The sequence below is a fragment of the Homo sapiens genome, chromosome 3 (assembly GCF_000001405.40).
Source record: "Homo sapiens chromosome 3, GRCh38.p14 Primary Assembly".
In the NCBI taxonomy this organism is placed as follows: Eukaryota; Metazoa; Chordata; class Mammalia; order Primates; family Hominidae; genus Homo; species Homo sapiens.
Window position 1 is genome coordinate 126,122,461 of NC_000003.12, and position 18,415 is coordinate 126,140,875.

General features: G+C 52.5%; 1 protein-coding gene across 9 annotated transcripts in view, besides 4 other annotated features; it reads right to left on the minus strand.

The window, feature by feature from the left end:
* ALDH1L1 (aldehyde dehydrogenase 1 family member L1) overlaps positions 1-18,415 on the minus strand; it is a 94,376-nt gene that overhangs the window by 18,891 nt on the left and 57,070 nt on the right. For 6 of the 9 annotated variants that reach the window (XM_024453325.2, XM_011512355.2, NM_001270364.2 and 3 more), the window contains 7 exons: positions 15,353-15,500; positions 14,304-14,423; positions 13,075-13,202; positions 8,924-9,074; positions 7,763-7,833; positions 3,156-3,261; positions 1,904-1,991 (listed from right to left, as the gene is read on the minus strand). In XM_024453325.2, the coding sequence (XP_024309093.1) occupies positions 1,904-1,991; positions 3,156-3,261; positions 7,763-7,833; positions 8,924-9,074; positions 13,075-13,202; positions 14,304-14,423; positions 15,353-15,500 (812 nt within the window). The remainder of the gene's footprint in view (positions 1-1,903; positions 1,992-3,155; positions 3,262-7,762; positions 7,834-8,923; positions 9,075-13,074; positions 13,203-14,303; positions 14,424-15,352; positions 15,501-18,415) is intronic. The other 3 variants (XM_017005613.3, XM_017005614.3, NR_072979.2) reach the window with 2 other exon arrangements.
* Positions 6,476-7,246: an enhancer, noted in NCBI's record as "H3K4me1 hESC enhancer chr3:125847779-125848549 (GRCh37/hg19 assembly coordinates)". NCBI's record gives its function as "activates a minimal SCP1, AML or CMV promoter by ChIP-STARR-seq in primed H9 embryonic stem cells {active_cell/tissue: H9 hESC(primed)}" and the evidence as "EXISTENCE:reporter gene assay evidence [ECO:0000049][PMID:30033119]".
* Positions 9,378-10,195: an enhancer, noted in NCBI's record as "H3K4me1 hESC enhancer chr3:125850681-125851498 (GRCh37/hg19 assembly coordinates)". NCBI's record gives its function as "activates a minimal SCP1, AML or CMV promoter by ChIP-STARR-seq in primed H9 embryonic stem cells {active_cell/tissue: H9 hESC(primed)}" and the evidence as "EXISTENCE:reporter gene assay evidence [ECO:0000049][PMID:30033119]".
* Positions 11,793-11,872: a silencer, noted in NCBI's record as "silent region_14674". NCBI's record gives its function as "represses an Ori minimal core promoter by ATAC-STARR-seq in GM12878 lymphoblastoid cells {active_cell/tissue: GM12878}" and the evidence as "EXISTENCE:reporter gene assay evidence [ECO:0000049][PMID:35858748]".
* Positions 14,400-14,900: an enhancer, noted in NCBI's record as "H3K4me1 hESC enhancer chr3:125855703-125856203 (GRCh37/hg19 assembly coordinates)". NCBI's record gives its function as "activates a minimal SCP1, AML or CMV promoter by ChIP-STARR-seq in primed H9 embryonic stem cells {active_cell/tissue: H9 hESC(primed)}" and the evidence as "EXISTENCE:reporter gene assay evidence [ECO:0000049][PMID:30033119]".

Here is an 18,415-nt window from a genome sequence, read left to right on the forward strand (position 1 = left end):
CACCAGATAGTAGCTCAAATCCATAGGACCAGCTGAAGAGGACCAGAACTTGTGAGTCAGATAACATATAAACTCTGCACATAGGGACTTGTTCTCCTTTCTTTTCTCAACTTCTTTAGTAGGTGTAAAATTAAGTAATATATATAGCAATATATTATTGGGTTTGTAACATATATAGATGTTATATGTGTACAAAAATACATGATCCTAGCACAAACAGGGAGAAGATAACAGACCTATCCAGAAGTAACATTTGTACATTTCACTGGGATTAAGTTCGTATAAATCTGAAGTTGATTTTGATAAGTATATGATAAGTCTTAGAGTAACCACTAAGAAAATAACTAAAAATGTATACTGAAAATAATTATTGAAAGCATTAAAATGTTATGCTAGGAAATATTTGCTTAATGCAAAAGAAAGTAGTACAGCAGGAGAAACAGAGGGAAAAAAGACAGGAGATTCATAGAAAATGAAAAGTAAAATGGTAAACCCACTGTATCAATATTTAATGTAAAGTCTCCAGTCAAAAGGCAGAGATTATGAGACTGGATAAAAAACAAGATCTGACTATATGTTATATATGGAGGCACATTTTAGATTCAAAAGTATGAATGGGTTGAAAGTAAAAAAATGTAAAAATATATATCATGTCAACAGCAACCATTTGAAAGCCAGTGTAGTAATACTAAGACAGAATTGACTTTAACACAAAAACGATCATGAAAGATAAACAGGGGCATTTATAATGAATGATAAAAGTGTCAGTCACAAGGTGTGAGGTATCACCAAAACTCTTTTTTTTTTTTTTTTTTGAGACAGAGTCTCGCTCTGTTACCCAGGCTGAAGTGCAGTGGCACAATCTCGGATCACTGCAAACTCCACCTCCCAGGTTCAGGCGATTCTTCTGCCTCAGCCTCCAGAGTAGCTGGGGTTACAAGCGCCTGCCACCATGCCCAGCTAATTTTTGTATTTTTAATAGAGACGGGGTTTCACCATGTTGGCCAGGCTGGTCTTGAATTCCTGACCTCAGGTGATCCACTCACCTCGGCCTCCCAAAGTGCTGGGATTACAGGTGTGAGCCACTGCGCCTGGCCATCACCAAAACTTTTTCAAATGCTTTCCTTATTTGAACTAGAAAAAAACTGAACTAAATTTTCAACCCAAAAAGCTGCAAAAAAAAAAAAAATAGAAGAACCACTCAGGAGAACACACAAGGGAATAATAAAAGCAAGGGGGAAACTATAAAAATAGCCATGGAAAAGGTAAGGAAATCCAGGAGCTGTATTTGATTTTTTTAGAGTGGAGGATGGAGACAAACAAGCAATAACTTTTCACCAATTTAATCAACTTAAAAAGAGAGAGAAAAAGGAAAAATATAAAGAATGTATTACAACAATCAAAAGGAAAATCCAAAAAGGAGATAAAAATTATGAGATTATTATATACAACTTCATGCTAATACATTTGAAATCTGCACAAGAAGAGACTTTTCCATAAACTAGACAACTAAACACAACAAAAACTTAAAAAGTGATTCATGTATGACCTCCCTAAATGCTTTAAGCCTGAAATGTTCTAAAGAAAAATTCTCTCAAACTTCCAAGGGCAGAAAATCCCCAAGTAACAAGTTTATTCCAGGGCGCGCGGACACACACACACACACACACACACACACACACACACACTGGAATACATTCAGCTGGGGCATCTGAAGACGAAAGCCCTTCCAGGTGCAGGTGCTCTCCCCCATGGGAGGGGCCTCCTTTGTCACAGGCTGGCCCCCGCCTGGGCTCTCCCCAGGCTACTCTGCCCTCACGCCACTATCCAGTAGGGCCTGCTCTGCCCAATGGCATCTCCAGCTGCCAGAAGCCCTAGCCCTGCCCCCGACAATGGCTCTTACCAGATCCTGGGAGGACGTTAACCACACCTTTGGGAATGCCGGCCTTTAATGTCAGCTCTGCAAACTTCAAGGCTGTGAGTGGGGTCACCTGGGTGTGGGGCCAGGAAAGGAGACTGGGTAAGGAGGTTTTTGAAAGTGGGGCTCTGCCTTCCCTCCCCGCCTTCCTCTCCCAGCAGCCCAGCAGCAAGCTGGGAGAGTAGCTGCAGATTGTGGCACCAGGAAGACCCCAGGAAAGCCACCAGAGGGGGCCCTGCCTGCCCAGCCGGTGCGCCCACAGCACCAGCTGGGAATCAGGGTGGGCCAACATCTGGTGCCCTAGCTTCTCCTCCTGGCAGGGCTCCAGCCGGCCAGGCCTGGGTTCCCTTCTGCACAGCATAAGTTTCTAAAGCCAGAGGTTAAGGTCTCCTCAGAGGGTTGTGTGTGATGCTTAAATAAGCAAATGTATGTAAATTACTACCTAATTTGTGATACATGTTGAAATGCTTGAGGCATGCCTGACTCAGGGTAAATACTATCAATGTCAGCCATCATTATTGTTTTTCATTACATCAATGCCCTTGCCGCGAAATTACCCCAAAGAAGCTGGCGAGTGGGTGCCCTCCTGGGCACACCATCCCTGCCATGTCATGCACCATCCTGGGAGGCAGGCAGCGGGCAGGCTGTCATTGCCAATGTACAGATGGAGAAACTGAGGCTCACTGGGTATGTCCTCACTCCCAAGGACCTTCCCAGCATGCCTGGGTGACCCCTGACATCCCGCCTCTACTCCCCCACCTACACCTCTCAGACACCACACTGCGTAGCTTCTGTGTGCAGGGATGGGGACCACGAATCCCACCGCTCACCCTGCTTCTCTCCAGGACTTCTGGTCTCGGAAGCCACATAAGGGACATGGCACCAGCTTTATGGATAGACTACTCAGGCTGTCTTAGAGCATGGGGCCTGGTTTCTGCCCCATGAATCCAGAGTGCAGAAATCCCTGCCTCTGCTCACCCGAGCAGCTGCAAGTTCCAGCACAGCCAGATGGCCTCAAGCAGCCATGGCTGAAAAAGAGTCTGCTTTGGAGAGCTCTGCCTGCCACATACGCCTCTGCCCACTGAGAGTGGGGCCCATGGAGGGCAGCTGGCATTAGCAGGACCCTTCTTCCAGTGCCCGTGTGGCCAAGAGAGGCCCTTCCCTTCCTCCCTTATAGAGTGAGTTCCTGATCCTCTCTGTGGCCTGCAGGCCCTGTCCAGAGTGAACCCACGCTCACCTGAGCAGGCTTGATCACCACTGTGTTCCCGGCAGCCAGGCAGGCAGCTGTCTTCCAGGACAGCATCATCAGGGGATAGTTCCAGGGGATGATGATGCCACAAACCCTGCCACACAAAAGAGGTTGGCCTTTGTCCTTCTTCTCCACCAGGCCCACAGTGGACCTGCCAATTCCCTCCACCTCACCCAGGGCCTGACATCCACTCTCAAAGCCAGGCTTCCTGATAAGGCACCCAAGGTCCCTCTGAGAGGCAGCTCACGCCTGCTGTTTCTGTCCTGGATGCTACAGTAAGAATTGGTCTGGCAGCAGCCCCTCTTCCTAGCAGGGCAGGATGGCATGGGATACTGGACCATTTCTGATGGAAGCTGTGGAACTGTCTGGGGCACAGGCAATGAGAGAGGGTGATGGCAGGCAGGCACAGGTGAGGACACAGGCCAGGGTCAGCTAAAGAGGGTCAGGGGTCACCAGGGGTGGGTCAGGAGGGCCTGGAGAGGGTCCTCCAGAGTGTGAGGCCAGGTGTCAATCCTCAAGAAGAGAAGACAGAGTCAGCAAGGCAGCACTGATGAAGTCAGGGTGCTCTGTGTGAAGCCATGGTGCCCAGTGTCAGTGCCACCCTGGGTTCTAGAGCGAGCCTCTGGCCAGGCACAGGTGCCTCATACTCAGAGCACCGTGGGCACTGGGGAGGCCGCAGAGTCCCAGGGACCAGCAGGCACACTGGCCGGGTATGAATCCTGTGTGGCCCTGCCTTCCCCCCATACAGCACCACTTTGGTTGAGCGCTGGACAGTCAGATGAGGACATCCACACAGAGCCCCGTAGACCACGCACAGGCTCCTGTCGCCACCCCACCACCATCACTGGGTGTTTCCCCAAAAGAAAGCTGCTTAGCCAGACACAGGCGGTGGGCAGGACCCGTGTGAGGCATCAGGGGGGAGCAGCAGGGAGCACTGAGATAGGGGAGCTGCCCCACACCCCACACACACCCAGGAGATTGGGAGCACAGCACGGGCTGCTGAGTGTTCCCAGGGAGCAGGTGAAGCCGTCGGTTACAGTGAACGGGGCTGAGGGGAGCTCGGAAAAGAAAACACATCAGAAAAGCCCCACAATTATGTGCTGAATTGTGCCCCCACTCCCCAATTCGTATGCTGAAGCCCTAATCTCCAGAGTCTAATGGCATGCCCTTGCTTGGAGACCAGATTGCTGTGTTGTAATTAATTAGGATGTGGTAGCACTGGGGTGGGCGGGCCCCTAATTTAGGAGGAATGCTGTCCTCATACAAAGAACACCACATGGAGAGACAGACTCACAGTGGGAATGCCAAGAGGGCATGAGGCAGAGACGGGGTCTCCCTGCAAGCCAAGGAAGGCCAGAGGTCACCAGCAGCCACCAGATGCCAGAAGAGAGGTCAGGACAGACCCTCACAGCCCTCATGTGGAAACAGCTCTGCCCACATCTGACCTCAGATTTCCAGCTCCCAGAACCAGGAGACGAGTTTCCATTGATTAGGCCCTGGATTGGTGGTCTCTTCTACAGCAGCCCGAACTGACGCCCACACTCACTGGTTAGGGGAAAGGCCGAGCCCCGGGACTGGAGTGTGCAGAGCTGGCCCTGGCACGGGGTCAAAGGAGCAGGGCTGCAGGACCCAGGCCCAGGTGAATCCTCCCTGCCCAGCTGCTGTGAAAACCGACTTTCATTAGCCTTGCTGCCTCTAATTCCTAGTGGGCTTTCTTAGTGGGAGACTGAGTGGACATCCAGTGAGACAACCACCCCATGGTTCTTAGGCCCGTCCCTCCCTCCCTTGGGGCCATTCTCCTGCTGTGCGGCCCTGAGCCCCCTCCTCTGCCCTCTGACGCTCCTGGGGAGCTGCATGGACGGTGAGGGTGGAGTTCCTTCTCTCTCTCGGGAGCATGGAGCCTGGGCAGGGGACACCAAGCAAGGTTTCTTGGTGTCCCCAAGAAATGCTTGGCTCACTAGGGAGCTCGAGTGGCTGTTGGGCCAGGGTGCGGCTGAAGACATGAGGGGAAGGGGCTCCCCACGAGGCAGCTGCAGCCTCACTGCTGAGGTTGCGGTGGCACTGGCCAGGGGAGGAGATGGGCAGCCCCTTACCCTGGCCAGGCCCTCCTCTGGCACCGCGTGCAGGCACAGTGAGGGTGGACCCGGGGCTGGGGCTCTCTAGCTCTGATCACTCAGTCATTCTGCAGTATTTATGGGACACTGCAGGTGTGCTGGGATGATGACAGGCATGGGCACAGGGCAGCATCAGTCTGAATGCTCACACAGAGAATAAAATGAGATTATAGATTAGAGAGGGCAGGCTGGGAGCAGAGGTCTGGCGGATGCATCACAGATGAGAGCTGGAGGACAGCTGGTGAGGGCTGGAGGTGGGACACAGGTGCAAGTGCTCAGTGGGGCATGAGGGTGGAGGGCCTGGGATCCGTGAGGCCAGCACAGCCAACCACAGTGGACTGGGGAGGGGGCCAGGATACCAGGCCCGGATTGCATGGCCAAGCGAGAAGTTTGATTCCATGTCAAGGGCACTGGGAAGCCACCCGAGGATTCCGAGTGGAGCAGTGACATGGTCTCTAGTAAATTTCCTAACACAAACATCCAAAAGAGCTGGACTCTGCTCCTTCTCAGAACCACATACAGAATTCTCCTCTTAGTCCCATTACCCAGGAGGCCCGGCCCTGCATGGCTCCTTCACCTGGCCCTCCTAACTCCTTCACAGCATGCTGTGCCCTAGACACCTGATGCTCACCCATCCAAACAACTCAGTGAGGACAGGACTGTTTTATTACCATTTGACAGTTGGGGAGACTGAGTACAGACAGGCTGGGAGCTTGCCCTAGAAAGGGGAGGAGCTGGGATTCCAACCTTGGGTTCCGGCTCCAGAACATTCCCACTGAGGCGAGGTCCCCTGTGAAGGTGGGGAGGGGTGAAGCCCAGAGGCCCTGGCGGCCTCCCTGCCAGGCAGAGACCATTAGTTCCAGAATCACGGCCCACCAGGTGCATGGTCAGCAGTGGCCCTGCCTACCTGCCTTTGGGCGAGCCCTGGTCTGTGTGAGCTGCTGGGACCAGGCCCCAGGGCAGGATGTGTTCACACTGGGGTGCTGACCAGGCGCCCAGAGTCCTGGGTCCAAGGCCAGCCTCACAGGGTGACATAGGGATGCTTCTGGGTGACACAGTGTCTGTTTCCTCCTCAGTCTGATGGGGGTGGACACCCCCCAACCCCATGCTGGCAGCTGGGAGGGGTGGGCAGCCTCAAAGACCCAAGTGTGGCTCTGAACTGTGGCCCCAGGTGGGCCACGACCCGCCCTGCCCTGCCCAGCCCAGCCCAGCCCCTTTCAAAGCACGACAAAGGTCTCTGACCACTGCCCCATAGCAGGGTTTCTTGGCTCCCACACTACTGACATTTGGGGCGGGGCAGTTCTTTGTTGTGGGGGGCTGTACTCTATCACCCCCTCTGATGGGACAACCAAAACCATGTGCAGACCTTGCCCGATGTCCTCTGTGGGGACCCTGGAGGCGATGCCTCCACCTGCAGCCTGGCTCCTCTCTGGGGCTCTAAGGGTCCACAGCCCACTTTCCCACAGGAGCCTCCTCCAGCCCGTGCTTGAGGAGTTGGTTGTTCATCTGCATGAGCTGTCAGTGACACAGGGACATTGGAGCACGTTCTCCTTGCAAATACTCCAACATTCAGGTGGAGCTGAGGGGCCTTTGGCCATGCCCACAGCTGTGAGGTCCCCTACCCTGCAAGGGGCACAGAGCAGGTGGGAATGACTGTGGTGCTCATGCCAGCTGGGCCCTGCTCCCAGGTCACCCTGGCCAGGCTCTCCTGTGGCACCGCGTGCAGGCGCAGTGAGGGTGGACCCAGGGCTGGGGCTCTCTAGGTCCAGTTGCAGGCGCATCCTCAGTGCAGATCATGGATCAGGGCTGCACCAGCACCTGCTGCTCTGGTGTTTGCTGTCACCGGCCTAGCACAGTGGCCATGCACTCTTGGGTAAGCCTCCTCAGGCACGCGTGTGAGTAACTCACCAGGACTGGGGCCAAATCAGGATGTATGGCCTCGAGAGGTCACTGCCCAGTTTCCTCTAGCAGGGAAAACCCAGAGCCCGGTGGCTGTGTTCCAAGCCCTTCTCCCTACTCCTGCCCTGGGGCCACTGGGTGGCGAGGTGAGGTGCCTCACGCCAGGTTCATTTCCCGGCGCCTACATGCTTGGCATCCAGCGGGGTCCGAACTCCTCCTGCTGAGCAGCTCTCGTCCTCTGCCTGTTCCTCCTTTGTTCTATATTTCCTGTTCCTCAGTGCTGTGCAGGAGTTCCTCATCTTTATGAACACTGACCACCATACCCATTTTGGACATTTTTTGGGTTTACTCTTGTTTCCCACCGTGGACCTGACTGATCCAGTGTTACTGGGAGATTAAATACAATTGTCCTCAAGTCCTTACAACAATGCCTGGCATGGAGCAGGTGCTCAAGAAGCACATGGATGGCTGTTTGATAAATGCACGCACAGGGTGCTGTGAGCTCCCGCAGGCTGTGCTACAGTTCCGTGTACTGCATGGAAAGCACCGCGAGGCTGCACCTCGCCCTGGGCAGGAACTCACCCAACAGGCTCCTTCCTGGTCAAGGTCAGGTTGCGGTTGGGTCTGGCCTGGTTGATGGGGATGGTGGAGCCCTGGAAGAGGAACAGGGGCAGTCACCCAGGGGCCCAGGGTCCACACCCCTTCCCCTCTAGGCAGCAAGTCTCCACCAGGGTCTCCAGGAGGAAGTCAAAGCGACCAGCTTAGGTGTGACCTGAGGCTTGAGAGACAGGCAGGGGGGCAGCCAGAGGGGCAAGGTGTTTGCTCCACTCTGAGCCTGGCAGGCAGAGCCCTTGGGTGGAAGCTGGTCCTGGTACCAGCAAAGCCTCTAGCTTTGACATTCGAGCAAGAAAGGGTGAGGGTGGGGGCAGGGCCGGGTGTCCCCCTCCCCACAGCTCTAAGCAGTTGAGCACATGTAGAAGGCCCAGGCCTTGGGGGGTCCAGCTGCAGCCAGAAGCTACACAGCTGCGGAGTAGGGGCGGGCACCAGGCAGCCCACCTCCCTTGTCGCTGTCATGCCCTGGTGGAGAGGAGGAACCATGGAGCCCAGATCTGATCTGGCAGAGACGCCATGAGTCCTGCAGAGGTGGACCTCCCCAGGGAGCCTCTACAAATGGCCCCCAAGTTCCACAACTGATGGCGGGAGCCTGAAGATATGGTGACACTCCCTCCTATGAGGTGTTGACTGTCCCTGTTGACCCTAAGGTGGGGACATAGTGCCCATGAGCCCAGAATAACTGCAGGAGCCCCCAGAAAAGCAGGCAGAAGACAGTGTCACAGGGATCCCAAGCCCGAGAGTGACCTGCTGCCGCTGGGAGATACAGTGCCCTGAGCAGGGACCTGCAGCCAGGAAGGACCTGCGGCCTCAGCCCTGCATCCACACGGAACTGAACTCTGTCAACACCCGAACTCGTCTGGATGCAGGTTCTGTCCCAGAGTCTCCAGATAAGGCCCAGTCCAGCCAGCGCCTTAGCTTTGGCCTTGTGAGACCTTGGCATGGAACCCAGCCCAGCCTGCCTGGAATTCCCACCTGCAGGACCACAAGCTAATAAACAGGTGTCATTCCAAGCCACCAGTTGTGGTCATTTGCTGCGCAGCATGCAGATGACTGTGCTGCCCTTGGAGTTCTCCTATATGGCTGGGCCAGTCTGCATGTGCTCACACTGGGTGGGAGCCTGGGCCCCACCTGGATCTTGTCACACCAGCCAGCAAAGTAGCGGAAGGTCTGGATGGACATGCCCACGTGGGTCTTCAGGGCCAGCGTGTAGACGGCACCCGCATCCAGGGCCTCAATGGTGGCCAGCTCCTCCTGGTGCTGCTCCATGAGATCTGCCAACCTGACCAGGGTGAGGGGAAGCGGGAGGTGGGCTCAGGCCTGGCACGGCCTCATCTGCCCTCACAAGGCCCTTCTTCAAGGAGCTGGGGTCCTGCCCTCTACCCCAGTTCTGCCACTCTCAGATGTGCGGACCTCCGTTTCTGATCCATGCAATGGGCCAGCACCGTTTACTCCACCGGATAGCTGTGAGGATGACACCCTCTGTCCCTCTCTCCTTTCCTCGATCTTCCCTCGCTTCCTTCCTGAAGTATTTGTGGATCCACTACTTTATCCTATTCCTCCGAAATTATCCTGCAGAGGCATTCACCCACTTGCTGCAGACAGCAAAGGGGTCATGGCCCAAGAGGCTGCCCTTCCTGTCTTCGGAAAGCTTGAACCAGGAGAAAGTCCATCTGTCTTTCCAGCACCAATAAACCAACTGTTCAGTCCAGGATGGTGGGGGCATGCTCCTGAGCCTGGCATCTCCAGAGATGGAGAGGTGGCCCCATCCCCATCACAGAAGGGCTGACTAGGGAGCAACGTGGGGGCTGACGCGTTTACACAGACTGGCTTCAGCCTGAGCATGCCGAGGTCGGGTTGCCCTCCCTTGATTCTGACGGATGTGCAGCTGTGGGCAGCCTGGGAGTTATGAGGGTGCCCCTCTCATCCCCTAGGGGGAGGGTGGACAGGGAAAGTGGAGACCACAGGCCCAGAGCAAACTCAGCCTTGGAGACAGGGCAGCTCGGGCCCAGAGGCAAGTGTGGGACCAAAGCCTGCCAGCCGTTTCCCACACTGCTCCCCTCTGCACCCAGGCACCATGAAGCCCACACGCACCCCAGGCCTGCTCCGGTCCTCACCTGCCTACACCCACCAGGACCCGTGACAGCTGTCCACGCCACTCAGGATGCATCTGCAACTCTGTGCCTGGCCAAGCAGCTCCTGGCCATTTCCATTTCATTCTGGGGCCACAAGACCCCAGCTCCTCTGCCTCCCTCCTCCTCCTCACATCGGCCTCTTCCAGGTGCTCAGGTCAGTCAGGCCTCCTGCCTTGGCTTTTAGGGGCTGTGTTGCATGTCTGGGCCCCCTTTCCACACTCCTGTTTCTCCTCTTAGCCTTCTGTACTTGTTTCAGACACGGACTCAATGGGAAGCCGACCCAAATCCCCAACCATGTTCTGACTGATCAGAGCTCCCTGTCACATCCTCTGATAGCCTCCTCTGCCTTTCTTCACTCCCCCACCACTACAGTTTGTAACAGACATTCAGGTAGATGATAATTTCATCACGATTTGCCTGCCCACTGGAATCCAGGCTGCAGGAGGCAGGGCGCTGTCTGGTTCCCTGCTCTCTGCAGCGCCCAGCTCCAGCACAGCACTGGGAAGCACTCAGCTCAGGTTTGCTGCATAAAACCAACTGAGCGAGGCCACCCTGGGCAAGGAGAGCCCATGCGTAAATCGGTTCCTGAGAAAAACCGATTTTGTACAGCAAATAGTGAAAACATCACCTAGCGGCCGATAGAGGACTAGGCTCCCCAGCTGCGAAGACAGGAGCTGCCTCTTTGTTATATAAATGAGACCCATTTGCTCCAAAGCCTGCTGGCACCAAACTCAAATTTTCCCACTCCCAGTTAGGCTTAAAGTAGCCCAAACAGGTACGTTTTTAGCCACTTAGGGCCCGCTGCTTTGCATACCCAGAGGAACCTCAACCAGCAGTTGTTGCCCATTGATAAAACAGGGCCTTGGGGTGATAAGGTGAAAGCTGCTACTGCCCTTGGCAGCCCTCAGACCCAGAGGCTCCCACTGCATCACTGTGTGTTGTCACCTGGACATGGAAGCCCACACGGCAGCCTTGGGACAGTCTCACTGCTCGTCTCCTGCAACCCTACCCAACCTGCAGCCCACTAAAGCTTGTGGTGTGCCATGCCTCCCCTGCTCACATCCTTCTCCTTCATCAGCCCCAATCCTTTGAATCCCCCACATTTCTAGATAATTCCACCTGTGTGTGACATGGCTGTGTCATCAATCCAGTTCCCAGGACACACTTTCTAAAGTATCCATCACCCGAGTGCACTATTCGGGAAGCTCTGAGAGGCTGCCTTGCAGGACTATTCTATTGTTAATTCAGTTAGGCTGCTGAATTCACACCCTGGCACCCATGCTCCCCAGAGCCCAGTCCCTGGGTGCCAGGGTAGCAGTGCAGGAGAAGTGAAGCTGCTGCCATCTCCCTCTGAAGGTCTGCAGGGCAGATGCAGGGGTGCCCAGCAGGCTCGGCCGGCCCTACTGACCACCAGCAGCCTGGACCACCGTCAGATTCTCAGCCGTGGACCACAGTGGTATCTGGGCAGAGCCAGCAGCTCCCCCACGGTCTTTCCCAGGAGCTCCTCTTTGTGGCCCCACTTGGCAGCTGGATACGGCTGCTCCTACTCCCTGGAGGTTCTATCCTGTCTACCAGGAGTTCAGGGGACTGCCTAGGAACCTTGTCTAACTCTCCCTCTGGATCCTTCTTCCTAGCTTCCACAATTGTGTAATGTCTGATTCCTGCAGTGAATTTCGTGTTCCCTAACACCCACGGTGGTCCCGCCACCCTGACAGGGTGCTCTGCAGCCATTTATCTGGGAGCTCCTGAACTGCCCCCTCCGGGACACCTAGACCCAGCCTCTGCTGTGCTGAGCTGAGGCAGAACCAGTAATGGGCACTCCCAGGTCTTCACGGGGCCTGAGAGTTTGCATAGGACAGGAAGGGGTCCACTTACAGCTGCCCAGGGTGCCCCCCTCACTGTCATTATGGGTGAGTAGAATCTGTTATGATACAAGCCACCAGATGGCAGCAGAGGCCAAGGGAGGGACCCCACGCACGCTGTTGGTTGTGCGGTCCACCAAACGCGCACGCAGGGCCCAGGCCAGAGGTTCTCCCGCCACCTGTCGTGCTTGTTTCACAGCTCTTCCTGACCTCCAGGAACTCTAGGGACCACTTGGCGTGGCCAGTGCCTTTCTAGAATTGAGGGGCTTGCGAAGGGGACTGGAACCTATGAAAGGCTGGGCATGCCCGACCCCCACAGCCCTCCCTGCCCCAACCCTAATCTCCATTCGGTTTTGCAGACCATGCTCTTGCAACCCCTCTCTCTAGTTTCCTGCTGCTGGGCTGCCCCGGCTTTTCTGGCCTCTGGAGTATAACAGAAACAGAAGCCATTCTGACCGCAAGGCCAAGGCAGGGTCTCTCCTGCCAGGTGAGGAGCTTCGTTGGGACCACGCCATAACTTGGCTTCGCACCCCTAGACGTTCCCAGGACCCCAGCGAAAGAGCCAGGCCCCAAGACACCTGTGTTCTCGGCTCATCTGGCCGCACCCTCTCTTCTCCCAGGAACATCACTCCACCTCTGTGAGGGTGACTGCTCCTTCCCGCCAGGCCCTGTGGTTCCAGGGGCACAGCACCTCTCTTCCAGGCCTTCCTCTCACTCTAAGGTCATAAGCTAAAGTCATCATAAGTCCTTGCCTAAGACGTCTGAACTGGAACTAAGGAGAGAAGGCCCCTTTCTCCCTGGCTTAAATTTTTTTTTTTTTTTTAATAGAAAATGTGAAACCTATAGATTCCAGTAGTCAGAGCCTGGCTGAGCAAGCAGAGACCAGGCCAGCCCTTCTCTGGCCCTTGCTGTCTTCTGCGTGCAGGAGCTAAGTCCCCTCCAGCCCAGGCTGGTGAGGGAAGTGCTTTGTCTGCCTGGGAGGCCCAGCCTGCGCCCACTTTGGAAGCATCCCTTGGCTTCCGCACCTCCTCACCTCCACCAGGCACCTCCCCTGAGCCCACTCTGCTGAAATGTCTCCTGTTTCTCATATCCCTTCCTCTGAGAAGCCTTTTCTGAGCCTCAGGCAAGGAGCCCCAGCCTGGCCCATCTGATGGCCTCGGTCCCATAGCCTCCCCAGGACCCAGCTCCTCCTGGCAGGTAAAAGGGCCTCCACAGAAGTCCCCCCCGTGCCACTGCCCAGAAGCTGATGGTGGCAGTGGCTGGCAGGTACATGTTGGGCTCCCACCTGTACATCAGCCGGCCCCGGTCCCGCGCACTGATCTTCCCCCACCGTCCATTCTCAAAGGCATCCTTGGCTGCGGCCACTGCCTTGTCGACGTCGGTGACTTGGGCCAGGGATACCTGGCAGATGACCTATAGTGGAAGCAGAGCCATGACAAGTTCTCCCTAAGCCAGTTGCACACAGATACCCCTGCCTGCTTCCCTGGCCTCCTCCTGGGGCCCCAGTGAGGCGGCCCCTGTCCACATGAGCAGGTGTGGAGGAGAAGCATGGCCAAAGGACAACCCTGGGAGGGTTTACACAGGAAGGGAAGACAGGGCCCTGGGAGAGGGCTGTTTGTGTGTCTACACCCCAAGGTCCCCACCCTGTTCCTGCCCTGAGTGTGCCATCCGTGCAGGCTCCCTCACCTTGGTGCCTGCTGGGTGTGGTGAGGGGAGCCGGTGGGGTGTGGTGAGGGCAGCCCAGGGAGGGCAAAGCCAGTGCCTCCTGTCTGCCGCCACAAGACAGCCATGCCCCTTCTGCCAAGGCCCCATCCTCAGCCCCTCCTGATGCTCCGTCCCAAGGGCACCGCACTGTCCTGTCTGTGTCCCTACCCCCTCCCTCTCCCTTTGCAGATGAGTCTTTCATTAACTCCTCTCAAATGACTCATTTTGAGTGTGCTCTCTGTCTTCTGCAAGGACTTGGCCAATTCTATAGGATGGACAGGATAGAAAAATGTCAGTATGCAGCCATAAAAGCAAGCCCTGCTTTGAAACCTGTGTTTTGGATATGTTCACGTGTGTATCTACCATAGGCGTGCTTTGGCTCATGATGCCACAAGGTCACAGTCAAGAAGGAGTGGCAAACACAGGACTCAGGTCGAAGAAGAATGTCCTAACGGTGGAGGGCTCAAGTAGTAGACAAGGTAGTCTCACACTGGGGCTACTGCTGAAGTGTGCAAGTGTGGCAGTGGCCTAATTTCTTCCTTGGGGTAGGAGGAACTCTGTTCCCAGTCTCTGAAGCAGGTGCAAGACCCTTCCGAGCCCTCCTGCCACCTGCCACCACCCTGCACCTCCTCTCCACTCCACTCCAGTAAGGTGGGCTGGAAACGACCTGGCATTCTTTCCCGTCCCTCTCAAAGGCACATGTCCAAGCAGAGACTCTCAGGGTCAGGACCCCCAGAGGCCAGTGGGGGCAGGGAAGGAAGGACAGGGAGGCTGGGGAATGTGGAGAAGGGGTGCTGGGCCTGCACTCACACTTCCATCGGTGGGATTGATGGTCTCAGAGGTCTTGGCGCCCTCGGCATCCACGAACTCCCCCCCAATGAAGAGCTGGTGGGGCATGCGGACAGTGCGCTTGTTCACTGCCATTTCCACCTGAAAGAAAGGCCCCAGTGACAAGCACAAACCCATGCAGGGTGCAGGAAGCATACACAGATGGCCACACAGTCACACACACACACTGCCCAGGGGCCTCCTGGGGCTTCAGAGCTGCATGTAGGCAACAGCTGAGCAGGGGAGAGACAAAGGACAGGCTCTGAGGCCAGGCTGCCTGGCGGGAGCTCTGCGCTTCCACCTACTCCCTGTGCCACCTTGGGCTGGCTCCTCAGCCTCCTTAGGGTGGGCTAAGAGGACTCAGACAGAGGAAAATGCCAGTGGCTAGTGAAGCCCTTGGCAAGCCCCAGACATGCTACAACCCACCACTCACATCCCTGTGGATTGGCAATTCCTCCCTGAACCCAGGCACCTCTGGGATATGATCCTCCTCCTGAAATCTGTTCGTCAGTCATTTGTCCTCAATCCCAAGGACACCCTTAGGTCCACCTTGGCCCCTTACTTCACCCACTTTTGTTCCAATCTACCAGCCAAACAAACTATGCTAAAGCCCATTCTTATGGGAGGTGGCAGTCTACCAAGATAGCTCAAGGAAGATTTCTTAATTTCCTTAAAAAACAGATTTTCAATTACTTGTCACACTTCCATACACACAAGTTGAATGTATAGGATTATTTGTTTCCTTAGTGGGAACTAAAAGTCTCTTCTTAATATCTTGATCACCTGCCTTGGGACTCAGAGTTTGGCCCATGTCCTGAGCATCAGACAGCAACATCCTCTGGCAAGCTGGCCCCACTGTACTGACATCCCCAGGCTATCCCGGGTGCAGGGAGAGTGTGGGAAACTGAAGGGTGGGCTCCTGGGGCCCTGGCTTTCTGAATGTCCAGGTTTCCCCTCTTGTCTTATGTAGTCATAGATGCAGCTGCCTGAGGGCTCTGCAGGGCCTGCTGCAGGGAGGGCCCAGCACTCACGTAGTCAATGCTGCACTCGCCCTCCTCATCGTCCCCTCGCAGCTTCCTCACTAACAGCTGGATGAAGTCCCCAAAGGTGGATGCCATGTACACATCTTCATTTTCTAACTCCAGGCCATCACACAGCTCCTTCACTTCCTCCACCAGCCTGGAGGAAGGAGATGGAAAGATGGGGACACGGGAGGGGCTCAGCAGGCCTGCATCGCTAGCAGCAGTGGCAGTGGGGCCAAACACCCCAGAGAGGCTCCATCCCAGCACCGAGAGGTAGCCATGAGCCCAGAACTGGGGAGAAGGGCTCAGGCTGTGGACTCAGATGGTCCCGGGTCCAAATTCTCGCTCCATTACTTTCTAATTTGTGACCTTGGGCAAATGACTAACTCCTCTAAGCCTTAATTTCTTCACCTGTAAAACAGAAATAATAATAGCTGCTCTGCTATTTTGCGATGAGTAAATACGACAACCCATCTAATAATAATAATAATTAGCAGATTAATAATAATCTCCAAAAATCTCTGTTAAAAGAATGAAAACATAAGCCACAGATTGGAAGAAAATGTTTCCAAATCACATTATCTGATAAAGGACTTGTATTCAGAATAAAGAACCCTCAAAACTCAATACTAAGAAAGCAAACAACCTAATTAAAAATGAGCAAAAGATTGAACAGATGCCTCTCAAAAGGAGAAATATGGACGGCAAATAAGAATATGACAAGACACTCAACATCATTAGGCACTGGGGAAATGCAAATTAAAACCACAATGGAATATAGCTTCATATTTATTAGAATGTCTAAAATTTAAAAGCCTGACCATTCCCACTATTGGGAAAGATGTAGTACCCTGAGCAACTGGAGCTTGCACACACTGCTGGCAGGGATGTAAATGGTGCTACCACTTTGGAAAGCAGTTTAGCACTTTCTAAAGAATTAAACATACTTCCTATTTCACTCTCAAGTATTTATCCAAAAGAAATAAAGGCCAATGTCTAGACAGCAGATGGCAGAACAAGAAGCTCCAAAAATGTATCCCCTTATCTAAATAACTATGGAACTTACATGAATCAAATATGTTGGAACTTTGGGGTCTAGTCAAATGCTTTCAGCACCAAGGAGAAAGACTGGTAAAGAAGCTGGTAAATGTCAATCAATTTAAATGATTTTCAGCCTCTCATAAGATATTGGCTGTCACCCCCCACCTCCCACCTCTGCCACAAAAAGTTGAAGCAGGGCTGGGTCATATTCCAGACGCAGCTTGCTGAAGCCAGGGTGGGCAATAAGGACCTTGTCCTCTGACCACCAGCATTGTGTCCTGAGCACTGATATTCCTTTTGATTGCTGAGAAGCTATCACAAAGGCTGGCAGTCATTGTTTCAACCCTCACAGGCTGAAGTAGCTTCTAGGAGATTTTAAAAGGCAATACTTTCCCTCCACTTTGGTAGCCAGACATTTATGGAAATCTTTGTTAGGTCACTGGCTGACTGCAGGAACAATGGAACAGAAAGTTCAACGACAACACACAATAAGGAACACACCTTGCAAAAAATAATTTGGAAAAGTCACAAACAGACAGTTCTAGCCCTCAACAAGGAAGATTCAATAATCCCTAATAAGTGGGAGAAATATATTTCCCGAATTACCACAACATAACACCCAAAATGTCCAGTTATGACCAAGAAAGATCTACAAAACATATGAAGAAATAGGAAAGAAGAGCCCATTCACAGGAACAAAAAATAATTTGAAGAAGGTACCCCTGAGGAAGATCAGATATCGGAATTATTGGTCAAAGACATTATGTCAAATGCCTTAAATATGTTCAATGAGACAAAGGAAATTATGGACAAAAAACTAAAGGAAATCAAGAAAGTGATGTATGAACAAAATGAGAATATCGAAGTGACAGAAACTATAATAACAAGTCAAATAGAAATTCTTGAGCTGGCAAGTAGAATAACTGAAACAAACAAAAAACTCACTAAAGAGGTTCAACAGTAGTTTTGAGCAGGCTGAAGGAAAGATGAGCAAACTTGAAATTATCCAGTCTGAGAAGCAGAAAGAAAAAAGAATGAAGAAAAATGAAAAGAGCCTGAAGGATTTATAGGATACCATGAAACACACCAACATACTCACAGGAGCTCCAGAGGAAAAAAGAGAAAAAGGTTTCTCTAAATATGTATTTGAAGAAATAGTGGCCCCAAAGTTCCCAAACATGAGGAAAGAAATGAATATACACATCTAAGACATACAATGAATGAAGTCCAAGCAGGATCAAAGAGATCCACACCAAGGCACATTACACCCAGCTTGTTGAAATTCAGAGACAAATAAATAATTTGGAGAGTAGCAAGAGAGAAATGGCTTGTTATATACAATGGGTCTTTGATAAGATTAAAAGCTGACTTCCACTAAAACACCTTAAAGGCCAGAAAGCAGTTGGATAACATATTAAAAGTTTTGGGGAAAAATGGCAACAACGAATTCCATATCCATCAAAACTATCTTTCAAGAATGAAACAGAAATTAAGATATTTCTATAGAAACAAAAGCTGAAGAAATTGGTTACCAGTAGACCTGCCCTAGAAGAAATGCTGAAAAGAGTCTTTCAGGCTGAGATAAAAGTACCATAGACTTGATGACACAATTAAAAATAAAGAACACAGGTAAAGGCCACTACATAGGTAAGTATGAAAGTCCATATTATTGTATTTTATTGTGGTTTGTAACTTCTCTCTTTTTCCTATATGACAATAGGCAAGTGCATAAAACAATAATTTTAAATATATATTAATGGGTATACAATGTATAAAAATGTACACTGTGACAGTAACACTATAAAGGGGAAGGAAAAGAGATGTATAGAATGAGAGTGTTTGTATACTATTGAAGCTAGGTTGATATTATTCAAACTACCTTGTTATAAATTTAAGATGTTAATTGTAATCCCTAAGTAACAACCCAGAAATAACTAAAAACATACAGTAAAAGAAAGAAGGGAATCAAAGTGATACACTACAAAAAAAATTACCAAATACAAAAAAGGACAGTATAGAGAAACTGAGGAA